This window comes from Homo sapiens, chromosome 2 (assembly GCF_000001405.40).
Source record: "Homo sapiens chromosome 2, GRCh38.p14 Primary Assembly".
Classification (NCBI taxonomy): Eukaryota; Metazoa; Chordata; class Mammalia; order Primates; family Hominidae; genus Homo; species Homo sapiens.
Window position 1 is genome coordinate 118,044,362 of NC_000002.12, and position 13,699 is coordinate 118,058,060.

General features: G+C 40.0%; 1 long non-coding RNA gene across 5 annotated transcripts, besides 1 other annotated feature; it reads left to right on the top strand.

The window, feature by feature from the left end:
* The first annotated feature begins 204 nt into the window (after positions 1 to 204).
* LOC102723413 (uncharacterized) lies at positions 205 to 13,447 on the top strand. Of its 5 annotated transcripts, XR_427162.4 has the most exons (5): positions 205 to 385; positions 943 to 1,021; positions 8,226 to 8,275; positions 10,359 to 10,429; positions 13,271 to 13,447. It is a non-coding gene; the product is annotated as an uncharacterized LOC102723413 (long non-coding RNA). The 5 variants fall into 5 exon arrangements; XR_923243.3 differs by lacking the exon at positions 13,271 to 13,447 and having other exon boundaries at positions 10,359 to 10,770; XR_923247.3 differs by lacking the exons at positions 8,226 to 8,275; positions 10,359 to 10,429.
* Positions 11,483 to 11,602: an enhancer, noted in NCBI's record as "active region_16438". NCBI's record gives its function as "activates an Ori minimal core promoter by ATAC-STARR-seq in GM12878 lymphoblastoid cells {active_cell/tissue: GM12878}" and the evidence as "EXISTENCE:reporter gene assay evidence [ECO:0000049][PMID:35858748]".
* Positions 13,448 to 13,699: the final 252 nt, after the last annotated feature.

A 13,699-nucleotide genomic window follows, 5' to 3' on the forward strand; every position in this document is an offset into this window, starting at 1 on the left:
GGTTGTTAACTCATTTATGTAACTCAGGACTCAACTGAGATGCTCAAAATCTGTACTCCTTGAAGGGTTTGTTTTTGTCTGTGTCTCTCAGCTCTGCTTTTCTCCACATTGGCCTCATTCTCAGGCAGTCCCTCTCTACCTGGTGACAAGTCCAGTGCTCTATGATGTCATGGTCCTCATGTCTCATCATCCCAGAGGAAAAGGGTGTCTCTTTCCCCACAGATGTAACCAGGTTCCTGTGGAGGACACGGCTTTGCTAAGCCTGCCTGGCTTCTGTGTCCTCCTCTGGGCCTGAGTGCAGAGGGTGAGAGTCCACATCCCCAGAACCATGGGGACTGAACAGGATTACTACAGAGCAGCAAAGAAGTGGGGCACCAAAGGAAAGGTGGGTTGTGGAAGGGATGGAAAGGGGAAGGAGATAATACATTCATTTTGACAATTTGAGGAGGTCTAGATTCAGGACATCAGGGCTGTCATCCTGGTTCTTTGGGTTTCTTGTCTTTTGTCTGTAAAATCGGAAGGTTGGAATTCTAAGGCCCTCTGTCCACCATCATCTTTCTTTAATTCTATGAATAATGGACACATAAAGCAGAAGCTTTTGAAGGTGCCTCTGGGCATAATCTGAGGGGCAGCAGAGCACAGTGGTTAGAAGTGTGAACTCTGGAAACAGATGTGTCATTCTGTGTGTGTCCATCATCTCAGGATCTGCTCAGTGGGCGTAGTCTCACAGAGCCCCAGGCTCAGAGAGCCTCACACTTATTTTAATGCTCTGCTGTCACTGTCTTGAAATTCTCAACAATTTTATGTTTGAACTTATGTTTTGCAAGTGAATTCTGACAGACATTGGAGCATACATGAGAGTAGGGAAGATAAGCACAGTATGTTAAGCCCAATAATAATAATGGAGTATCTGCTGTTCCTTGCTACCTTATTTCCTTACAGAGTACACAACACCTTGTGAACACAGAATTCTGGTGGACCCAGAATATGTGGGAGTTCAGTGAGACTTAAAGAGGAAAAGGTGAGCATGGCATATTGGCATATCTGCATATCTACCACTGACTTTTCGCTTGGGCCAGAACTTGCTTTGAATGCAGAAAGCAGGCCAAGGCATTCCAAGAAACATGAATTACAGGAAAGCCTACCATATGCTCTCTTATGCTACTTCTCTGTGTTGGCTAACTACTTGTACTGAAAATGATGACATAGAAGGAAAGAGAATTGTAATTCCCTACTCACCAATAAGCCCAAGGTGAGCAGTGTTGGTAGATTGTGCATATATCAAGTGAGATGAAAATAGTTGAGTTGGTTTTGTGCAGCATTTCTACCATTCTGGAGAGAGTGAAATACACACACATGAGCGACAAAATAACGAATTGTGAAATTTTGATTATTCTGTATATGAGTTACATGCTCTTTTATTTGCATTGAAAACACATTGCACAATATAAAAATGAATGGTAAAACTCATACAATGACAACATTAAATTTTTTATTAAAATAACATTAAATAGCAAATTAAAACATCATAACAAGTTGAGAGAGAGACTTAGAAAGAAAGGAAAAAGCTTTATATTTTCATACTTTTAATGGCACTTCTTTCCCTGCTTTTGGAACAAAAGGCTCCACATTTTGATTTTGCACTAAGCCTCACAAATTATTTAGCCTCCCCCTGAATCAGCAAATGACTTTACCTCCTGGTGATTCCGTTTCTCTATTTGTAAAGTGGGCACAAACACAGCAATGTCTCCATTATTGGACTGTTGCAAGAATGAACAGTGCTTAGCATTCAGTAGTTGCTCAATAAACATAAGCTTTTATTATAAAAATGAGTTAGTATAAGACATATCTTTATGATGTGAAATAGTCAATCTTTTTTTTGTTTGTTTGTTTTTGAGATGGGGCAGGGTGGGTCTCACTCCTGTTGCCCAGGCTGGAGTGCAATGGCATGATCATGGCTCACTGAAGTCTCAACCTCGGGGCTCAGGTGATTCTCCCAACTCAGCCCCCTGAGTAGCTGGGACTACGGGCATGCACCACCATGCCTGGCTTTTTTTTTTTTTAATTTTTTTTATTTTTTTTATTTTTAGTAGAGACAGGCTTTCGCCATGTTGCCTAGGCTGGTGGATTATTAGATCTTAAATTTCCCTCGATGGTGACTTTCTGTAAACCAAACTTGATAGCAAACTCCCCTCTTCTATACTTTTCCTATGTTGGAAAAGTTTATTGGAGTAGTTTGAATTTTTCACTGTAGTTTCATTAATAGGCTCACTTAATTTACTACTTAAATGATGCCATTGGCATTAGCAGAATACTTTATGTAGTCAGCAGCAGAACAAATAAAGTTAAGAAAAATATTTTAGGGGGAGAATATTGGGGATCAATCTTTTTTAATTCCAAATAAAAACTGAGGTAAGGATTAAGCTATTAAGTGAAAAAGCAGAAAAGGACATTTTCTACTTCTCAACAACAGATGGCGATGTAGCTAAGCAAATAGAGGACATTGTTCTCGGAGAAATTCTGTCTTCAAGTGCGAGGAAGCAAAGCTATAAACAACATATGGAAAACAATGAACATTTTAATTAGGTGTTAATAACTGAATATTGAATCTTTGTCTTCCACCTAACTCACAACAATGTTATGACAGCTAATTAATAAGTGATTGTAAAGGAAATGATTAATTATTTAGAGTAATAATTAGAATAGCTTACATGCTTGTAATCATAAAATGGTTTTAAAAGTAGACAGAGGCAAAGCAAGTTATTATTCTGTTGTTACAAAAATATTGCGGTGCCTCTTTCAGGATGATTCCTATTGTCATTCTGCATTGTCTGGATTTAATAAACAGGCACCATCATGCTTTTTTTTCCCATCAAGTTTCATTTCAGCCATGGAATAGAAAATCATGTATGTGTGGTTTTTAAAGGATTTTCTGTCATACTTATTTGAAATTATGTACATGGGAGTAAACTGAAGGCCTACCCATGTGGGGGGAACTTTTTGGAAAGATATTAACCACAGAACGAACCAAAACAAAACCCTGGACCAGAAGAATAAAGTCTCCCCCTAGAGTCTCTGTCTGTAGTGTCTGATTCTCATATATAAAATCAAAACTAAAAAGCAAGTGTATAATCCCAAACTTCTCCTCCTCCGCCTTCTCATTCTGTATTTCAAATCTCTTTGAACTGTCTCATGTCTTCAGGATATAATGAAATCCCTTGCTCTGGAAGGAAGCCACAATAGATATATTTCAAGACCTTTCCCTTTCCTTTCTGCTGGTAGCAGAGCTAATGTAGTTTACTTACTAGATGAGTCACCATGGATGCTGATACACTCAAGCCAAGTCTACCCTAGTGAGGGGAATTGGAGAATTGTGGCAATTATCTCATAATTTAAATAAACAAAGCTTCCCTCATTTTTGTTTCGGTTACCTGAATTTTTCAAGTGAATGTCTAATTTTAGTTTTGAATTATTAGAGGTTGTTCTTGCCTCAACCCTCTTAGTAGCTAGCAGAGCTCTGGACGGCTTTGAGGTGAAGTGCTTTAAGAATGTGCACCCAAGGCAAATGTATTCTGTGCTTTCTATTTTATCATCCCAAGCATTTCTACTTGGCATTTGGGGAAACAATGTGAATAACTCAAGTCTAGGATGAAACATTTCTGGAAGGCAGACAATATTGAGATCTGGAAATGGTTGTTTGGAGAGCCTAGATATTTCCAATCAGACAAAGACATTCATAATACCATGTCCTTCCAGACAATATGGACCCCAACACGTTTTGTGTGGACCACATGTTTCTCGGCTGGCCCCAGTCCAAGCCACCACCTGTACTGAAACTTCCAATTGGGAGTTTACGGCTGATCCTGGCTACCTCTCTTAATCACATCTTTCTTCTCAGACCATGTCCCCACCTTGCCAATGTGAATTCCTCCATCTTATTACCCCTCACTTAATGCGAGTGAACATTCGAGGGAGATAGAGGAGCTTTGCAAGTGTAAGGCATGGCTGTCATTTCCGGGTCCTAAAGCATCATATTGTTATTTAATACTTATATTCAATGTCTTAATTATTCAGCACCTTTAAGCCACAATTGTTTGGCTTCAAATAGAACCTGGGTGATGGTAGTTGCTAAGGTGTGAGCCCAAAATGACTATGATCTGCATTTCTTTTCATAGTGTGCATTTTTGAAGACTGACTCTCAACTTTCAGCTTTTGCCACTGCCTGTGATATGTCTTGCTCTATGTGACTCAGCATGAAAGGCTCATCTGGCAATCCCATCTCTAATTTCTTATCATTTGCCAGCAGGAGATAGCTATGTTGCCTGTTCAGAGAAGGAGCATCTATCTGATTGACAGGATGCTGTGGGTAGAAGTGGACGTTGGCAGTTGACGGACCTGGGTTTGAATCCCATCCTTTCACTTCAGTCACGTGCAATATTTCTTACCTTCCCTGAACTTCAACTTTTATTTCTGTAAAACAGGGATAATAATATATATCTGGCAGAATAGTGATTAGAAATAACTTGTGTAAAGTGCCCAGCAAAAGGTGAATGCTTAATAATGGTAACCATTGTTAAAACTTCTCTTTATGCAACAGGAGAGAAGATATTTCTATTCTTTTGCTATTATGCCTCATTCTCCTTTCTCCACCGTAGCAGGACTTTACCCCTCAGTTACATATTTTCTAAAAACATACTGTGAGCCCAACACTGTAGGGAACACAAATAACATGTGGTGCTGTGACTCTGTCTTTAATCAATTATGCTCTTATGAAGAAAAGACAAAATGGACATGCATGAAACACAATAATAATAATATCTAATATAGATGGAGAATTTTACTCTGTGACATATTTGTGTTAATGCTTTACAAATTAGATCTCATATCCTCATCACAATCATCCAGTCAACAAAAGTATTGTTGTCATTCCAATTTTACAGAATAGAAAAACCTCAGAGAGGTTAGGAGTCTTGCCCAAGGTCACACAGCTAATAGTGGCAGAATCAGGACTTAAACTTGGGCCATCTGACTCTGGAACCTGAGCTCTTAACCACGCTGTTTAATTGTTCACATGGACAGTATGAAGTGGTGCAAACAAAGGGCTGTCAATTTTCAGAGACTGGACAGACCATAGTAGGGTGGAATTTACCCAGAACATTTTTTGGAGGGAGTGTACCTTCATCTGAGTCCCACAAGGCATTCTTTAAAAGGGAACGGTTAACAGTAAAATATAACAGTCACAAGAAGGTGAATTAGAAGTTCCCCATGAAACCACATGTCCATCATTTTTCTGCTTGGCTTAATGCCAGGGCCTGAATCTTCTCAAGTAATTCATGGCTGGTTCAGGTGTCCCCAGCATCCTGTGATCTCATTTCTCTTACATCAATCATTTGGACATCATTGTTTAAGGAATCAAAGGATTTCTGTGCTGGAAGGGATGCCAGGAGCCCCGTCATGACCTCAAGGGAGAGGGTGGCAGTTGCCCAAGGTGACACAGCTGCCCCAGCTAGGAATTGGGTCTCTTGACTGCCATACTCATTCTCTTTCTGCTTTGACACATTGGGACCCTGCCTTTGATGGCATCAAGGATGGTGGTATAGGTCTTACACAAATTCTCCCAGTTCTGTTTCAAGTGGTTAGCACATAGCACTGTGCAATACTCATTTCCTCATTGGTACTTACCTTCTCTTTATCAAGGCAGTAAGAATTTCCCCAAAGACATTATTGGTCAGTCTGCATCTCCCTCATCAAAATGCTACTCTATTGTCTTGTTGAGAATCAAACACCATATGCTGGGGGCCCCTTCTCTCCTCCTCAGAAGTCGTGCTTCCCCCCAAACTGGAAGCAAAGCATGTTCACACTCAAAATCCTGAGCGTTTGATTAGATTTTAAAGTTGGCTGTACACCCTCTTCCTGCCACCCAATATGTTATGGGTTTGGCTGAAGAGGCTTTTGTTTTGAACTAATGTCTTTATTTAAAACAAAAATTCAGAGCCTGGTTCGACAAATGCATAAACAGGTATCCGATTTAGAGTGACTTCTTTGAAGAGGCAGCCTCTCGCCGGCTGTCAGTGGGTCCCTGCTGAGTTGTTTGATGCATTCACTGCATTTTATATTACTTAATGTGGCTTATGTATCTGCCAATAAATCTGAAATACAGGTCACAGAATATGTAGCTCAAGGAAATCCATAAAAGTAGTAGAGAGAGGCTTCACTAACTGCATCAGATTGCCAAAAGCTGAGGTCATTTCCTCTTGATAAAAATGTAGGGCTCCATAAATTATTTTTATCACCTCCAGAGTCAAGCAAACAGTTTTGCACAGATGCCAAAGGGGTTTCATTGCCTTTTCTCCTCTTTAAGCTGAAAACATTTTCCCAAGTCTTCTGCAAAGTGATTGTGTTTATCCTCCCTGCACCACCCCCCGCAGCATTATTAACATCCTAGTTTATTGCATGTAAATCTAGGAACATAAACACAATTGCACCTGGCTAGGGTCTTCAGTGAAAGTGACGCAAACACCTGAGCCTAGAAGATGGTTCTGATCTTGGTTTAAATATTCCCCATGACTGGGAGTTGACATTGTTTCCTTGAAGATATTTTTAAGGAGATGTTAGGTATGCAGAGACAGTAAAAATGAGCAGTGAACATTCAGTGGAGAACTTTATAGAAAACACTACTGAATTAACTTACAGTACATTTGTTAAACATGAGCACCTCTAATAATGACATTTCATTTAACAATGCCCTTTGTCTTTTCAGTTCATCAGTTACCTATTTCAGTAATGAACTGCAGTCATACCATTCTGATTTTCTCCTAATGTAAAGGCTCAGCTCACTTCACCGCCAGTGAAGCATGATGCTATTATTCAGTTCCTGGCTTAGGAAAAAAGCTGTAGAATATATCACAATTCTAATTGGCTAACAAATATTAAGCCCTACAATTGTTAAGGGCACCCAGTGATTCTGTTTAGCTTTTGATGGGAATAAGTAAAATAAAGAAAGGGGAACGGTTTGAAGGAAAAAAAAAAAGGTTAGTATGTATACTTTATGAGCAGTAACCGAAGTATCCATTGAAAAAATATGAGCACACATTATATTTAATAGCTCAAATGTTATCTTAATTCTTTATCAACAATTCATGCAGATAGTTTAATACCAAATATTTTAGTTAGGATTAACAATCTGTGAAACAGAAGGTGCAGCAAATGAGAGATGGAATTTGTTCTACCTGCAGCCACACGAGGAGGCAAATGTAAGCTACTGGAAGGCTGGGTCACGCGTGAGACATTCTTTTTCTGCCAAGTAAATGCAGGCAGATTTGGAAAATATTATGTCTCTCGTAGCCCCTATTTATACTTCCCATGGAAGGTAATGAAGCCTGGGTCCAAATTTATTTTTGTCCCTTTTGCAAAGCTTTCTTCGGAATGAAAGATGGGCCCCTTCCTTGTTTTCCTTTTTCCACGTGGCAGAATTCACTAAGGCATCTCCCCGCTCTCTTTTTTGAACTCACAACAACATCTCATTAGTAAAGGCAAGATTCAGCTCACCATAATCTTTCCCCAGCTGAGGCAAAGCTGCACAATTTACAATAGATCTTTGGAAAACTGCTTTTAACCGAGTGCTGCTGCACCTATAGATCTCTCTCAATTACCCACAGTAAATTTAGGCATTGTACAAGAGCAAATTTTACAGTCCATGAAGAGATGAAGTGAAATCTAGATGAAATTCATAGTGACAGATTCCCAGTTAGTGCTGTGATGTGTCTGTATTACAGAAGATAGACATTCTATTAGCATGGAAGCTCCCGTAATGGACTGTGAATCATCTCAGGTAATAGAGATGCCAAGCAGAATGACTGAAAAGCACTATTGAATTCCATTAGAGCTCTTTGTTTTTAAATCAGTCATTTCTTGTGAATAACCAACTATACACTTCTTGACCCTATCTCCAAGTGATAATTGTGGACTAATATTACAATACATTAATCTGAGTTACTGTGCAATTAGCATTTCAGCTGCAGGCTTATTTGGGGTCTCCTAAATGCAAAGGCCCATTCCTTTGGAAGCCAGAGCTTATATTTCAAATGCGCAGTTTCAGAAAGGGCCTCTCTTCCATGATGCCATTTCTAGTTCCGTTTCCACATTCTGGAGTTGTTCCTTGGTCGTCTTGTTTTCAAGGATTTTGTATTGTAACTTTGTGACTTCCTACCCCTTTTCATTTAAAGATTTCTGCCTACACCAGGCCAGACATCAAGGGAAAACAATTATCACAAAGGTAAGTCTATAAAGGAAACCATTTTAAATAAGCCAAGTCAGCAAGTCTTTTCTTCCTTTTTAAAATCTCAAATATGTAGCTAATCTTTAGGAAAATAAAGAACATCACATTCTACTGCATAAACAGCCCCATCTAATCTATCAATCAAATATGATTGATCAGACACAGTGATTACTTGGATAATTAGTACAGGGTTTAGGTTTATGCAGTACTCTGAAGCCTTTGGGATGTCTGCATAATTACCATTTGTACAGTAGATCGAGTTATAGGAATTCTGCTAGTCGATTATAAACATGAAGCACTTAGAATAGACAACTCGAACTAGCACAAGTTTCTTAATTCATTGCATTTGATACAAATGCAATAGCTTGTCATGAGGCAAAGCTTTATTTGGCCAAAAGCTCTGAAGTTAGCATATATACATTTAAAAAACAACCTATCTCTTCTTGTATCTAGTGTCTTCCACCAGATTTGCAAGGCAGGAGAGAGGTAATTTCACAAGGGGACTGTGGCATCCAAAGCACAGCAACTTGAGTTGAGCCACTTCAATATTCTCCCATAAATTCCCTGGGACAACTTTAAAAAGAGTCGACTTTACATCTTCTGTCTACAATCATCTATTTTCACATCAAGATGAACAACATTATCCTCATCTGCGGGAGGATCTGAGACTAGCGCCTCGACACGAGGCTTTCTACTTAATGTTGTAATGACAGGTGTAAGATTAACTTTGTTAGGTGTCTAGCCACTCATGCAAACTAAATTAAATTAATGGAACAAATTTCTCTCATAATTAAGATAAAAATTCATGTCAGCTGTAACCTTGCTGTACACTAATTATATACAAATGATTTATCATCTGCTTCGCCCAGAATATTAATCCTTACCTCATTGATAACTGCAGCCAGTGTTAAGAGATGAGAGTTGATTAACTATGACAGATTGGGCAACCACAGCCCTCGGTGCCGGCGCTACCAGTGAAACCAATAACACTCAAGTAGCTCTCTGTGTTTAAAATGCATTCCCATGGAAACAGATGCATGCTTAATGAAGGATACTGAGATTATTTTCAATAATGACTGATATTGGAACAGTGGGCAGAGCTGATCAATAACAATTAACCACTTAGTCTGCTAAAGACATGGTTAGAGAAAGCAGGTTATTTCCACATTAGCAGAACCTTATTCGAAGCCGAGTGCTCCATAATGTCTCTATGCTGCACCGTTTCCCTTTTTCCCTGCCTGGGAGGGGCTCCATGGTGGAGAGATGGTATTGTGCCAAGCGCCCTCCTGTCGCCTCTTAGCGCCTGCTTATGAAATGAGTGATTGATGTTGCCAGCGGTTCTTTGGATGCTCTCAAGATAGCTGCCAAATGTATCAAGGAAAGTCCAAAAGCAACTGTGACCATGAAACTAATATTGCTTTGTATGGATTTGGTTTGGTAGAAAACTTTACTGCCAAGGCGTAACTCAATTGTACAGAAATTTCTTTTGATCTTTCATTGTATGCTTTTTAATTTAATTTTAAAGAATCCAAGACGAGTCGTGTAGATATTTAAGGAAATCCTTTGCTTTGGACTCCTGTCATACTGGCTGGAAAGGGCTTTAATAACATAAATTTAATAATAGATATGGCTTTCAACACTATTTGGAAATTTGCACTTTTATTTTGTATTAATTTGAATCACCCCAGGAGTCAAGATCTTGCAATGCTAATTACTAATATAGACTCCCAGAATCCCTACCCTGACAGTCAGCTTGGAGAAATCCCAACTCCCTGGGCCAAAAAGTGTTAATAAAAAGTGATTAGCTACTTAGGCCAAGGCATATTATAATAATGCATTATATTTCCCTTGAATGGATGATATGCATTCTCATTTCTCTGAATGAAGAAAATGGTTGAGGGAGATGAAAATTCAGTCACTTCGACTGACATTATTACTGAAAGAATCAAGCTTTTAAAACAAATAGAAGAATGCTGCTTTCTCTGCACTTCTTAGATTTAAGACTCCAATCTGAAAATGCAAATAAACAGAAATATACTCTATTTACCAGTCTAGTTCATCTGTTTGTTCTATTTTGCAGACCTACGTGTGAACTAATGCAAGCAGCTAATGCCAAGCCTAACATGCTCCATATGTGTTAGAAGTTTTAAGGTGAAGAAAAGAACTGGCCTTTTTCTTCCTTTAGCCCTGTGAGACAGACATTCTGCACTTAAATTATCAGCCACAGGGCATCCGTGGCTGGGAATCCAAACAGATGCTAATGAATTTGGAACAACATTTAAGTGGCTGAACAAAAATGGATCCTAAACACCCCCAAATCAAGTGCAACAAACAAGAAATAGGCTGACACATTTCTATCAGGAAGGCAACCAGAATGTCAAACTCTTGAATGATACTGGGTGATCTCAGCTCTGTTTTATCATCTCAGTAAATAAATCTAGAGATGATAAACAACCATAAATACCTGCAACAAATGCTCCATAAAAACCAAATCTTAAATATATTCCACACATTCCTCTCCAATCACCATCCTCCACCCCGCCCCCATCAAAAAATGACTAACCTTTTGCCAAACCTCTAGGTAGACATAGAATTACATTTAACACAAAGGTAGTAATAATAATACTATATTTTTGACCTACAGAAACTAGAGTATCAGAAGAAAACAAAATGACATTCTCAGAGTACAGGCTCACTGATTGTTCTTATTAGGGGTATCTGTTTACTACCTTTCTGAAAACACCATGATCTTCCCCCAGTGCTGAGGACTTGAATCCTTACTACAGCTAAAACAGTTACACCCCTCCACCCTGGCTGGAAATGCAGTAGAGGCAATTACCTTTTCCCTACCATCTGAACAACACAATTATTGGGAAGATAATAAGATTATCCAGGCTTTTGCTTCTTAAAATTATACTGAGGAACACAAACTGAATACTGTTTCTTATGCATTCATCTTAAAAACAAATAAGGGAAGTAAAAATGTGCCTCTAAGCTAATGAGGACCTTGAGACGGAGCCATAGATACATTTTCTCACTTGCCTAATGAGCAAAGTGACAGACAGTGAAACAGTTCACACTTGAGTAATTCTCTAGTCATCAGCAACTGCAGAGGGGCCCCTCCTGCTAGGGTTGTGGAGGCGGGTGGTCAGGAGATGTAATAAATAGACCCTGGCTCTGCTGGCCAGAATAAGTTATCACAAAGAGAGAGGTCTTAGGGTACACTCCCCAAGGAAATTTAACCTGAAAAAAGAGCCCATCGAAGGCATCTCCAGCCTTACATTCAATTAGAATTAAATTAAAACAATGGAAAAAAGAAATCACCTGCTCCTCATCAGGCCAGCTGCCTGGAGCGGGTGGGGTGGCTAGGAATCCGGAAGGCAATGACCCCTCCCCACTGGGATCTACACACTGTTTTTAAACGGCGCTGTCTTCTCTAGACCTCGCTGTCACGGAAGCATCCTTTCCGGGGAAAATGGGGAAAGTGGGCAAAGGTTAAAGCCAGTCAAGGTGGTGAAGAAGGGGTGTGTGTGTGTGTGCACAAGCACACATGCGTCCAAGAGATAGGTAGAAAGCATCTTTTTATTGACTACTTTCATGGGCCTATGCAAGTGTGCATAGGGGAAGCAGATCTTGCAAATCCACCACCTTTCTGGTTTGATCATTAGAAGGAAGGGAACTGAAACTTGTTCCTCCACAACTATGCACCAGGCCCTGTTTGTCCTTATTGCGACCTCCTGCTGACACTGGGTGTGGGCTCTGTGCTAGTTTAGCCACTTTAAAGGGGAACGAACTGAGGTCTCAGTCTGCTAAGCTATTTGCTGAAGCTCACATGGCCAGTAAATGGAAGCAGAGATCCAAATTTCAGCTTGCTTGGCTCCAAAGCCCAAAGCCTATGCTCTTTCCACTCAAAATCTCCCGGTATCCCTCACCAGGAGGCTGATAAAGGAAAAGTGCCGAGTGAGACGTTGGCCAGAGAAATGGGAGCTGAGCTCAAAACATGATGTCTCTTGTCCATTATCACTAGTTTATCCCTGGGCCCTAGCAGGTTGGTGTGATTCAGGACCAAAGCTCAACACCAGGGTTCCCAGGATGCCAAATATACAACATCTGCAATCTTCAGCCATTTATTTTGATATCACTTAATATCACACATACATATGGTTTAAAACCTGTTCAAGATATTTAGCACATTCTGTGTCTTTTTATCTTTAGTGCTTTAATTGCCACAGTATCTTCAAAATTAGTGGGCCGATTCTAGCACTTAGAAGAGAAGCCTGTTTAATGCGTGCCAGTGCTCCGTCTTCTAGAGGTTCTTTACTTTATTCAAATTACTAATCATTTAGAGCATCACTAAAAGCCTTTTTCCCTTGCTCCCCATGCATGCTTAACCTAATTAACTATAAATGAGGAAAATGCTATCCACATTAAAAGGAAATGTTAAACTATAAATTATCCCACTAATTCTGGTGAGGCTAAGGCCTCCTTTAGAAAGCTCAACTGTGGGGCAGAATTTCAGTTTGTGTGCATCCTCTGCCCTACCTCACTAGAATGGGCTGCAGAATCTCCCATTTCTGGTGGATCCCTTTGTCTGTATTTATATTTTCTCAAATTGACTCCCTTTGTGTTTGTTTACATACTCTCAGGAAACTCGAATAATCTATAAAATGCCCCCAGGAGCCCACTGGGGTGGAAATCTATCAAGTGACAATCTAGATTTGTCCCTCAGTGCAGAAAATTCCTCATACACTTCTCCCAGACAGATCCAGCCATAGGAAGCCAACAGTGTCTTGAGAGCCTCAGATCATAGATCCCAAAATATTCTCCCTCTGGCTGACCACATCTGACCGGGCCTTGTGATGGCTTCCTTCTGAGCCACTCCATTAGGGGGGTTGACACAAATAGGGCAACTCTCTTGAAAATTCTTGTTAGAAAGAATACCCATTAACACATTAATCTGAAAGATCAAATTAATTTGTCAAATTATCCTAGATTTGACCTTCGAGAGCTGAGGGCAGGCCTCTGTCAGAACAGAGTATGGAACATGAAATTGGTTATGGAGCCGGACGAGAGGCTGAGAATGTGGATCGTCCTCCGAAGACGCTGTCCAGGGAAGACCTGGAGTGAATCATGGGCCAAGGGTGGAGGCCAAGTTACGGGGACAGAGAGGCGAAGACAAGGGCAGCAGTGCCCACAACAGGAATTCCTACCCTTCAACTTTGTTCATAGTGGTCCCTACTTTTAATATATGTAATGTATTAAGACAGACAATTCTGAGGTTGTAGTAACAAGGGAAATGCAACTGGCACAGACAACCACTGATTCTTTTTTTCATGACTCCCCTATTCGTGCTAACCTTTGTTCTGTGCCAAGTTCATGACAAACCCCAGTTCATTCCTGCAGCAATGGGGGAAACTCTAA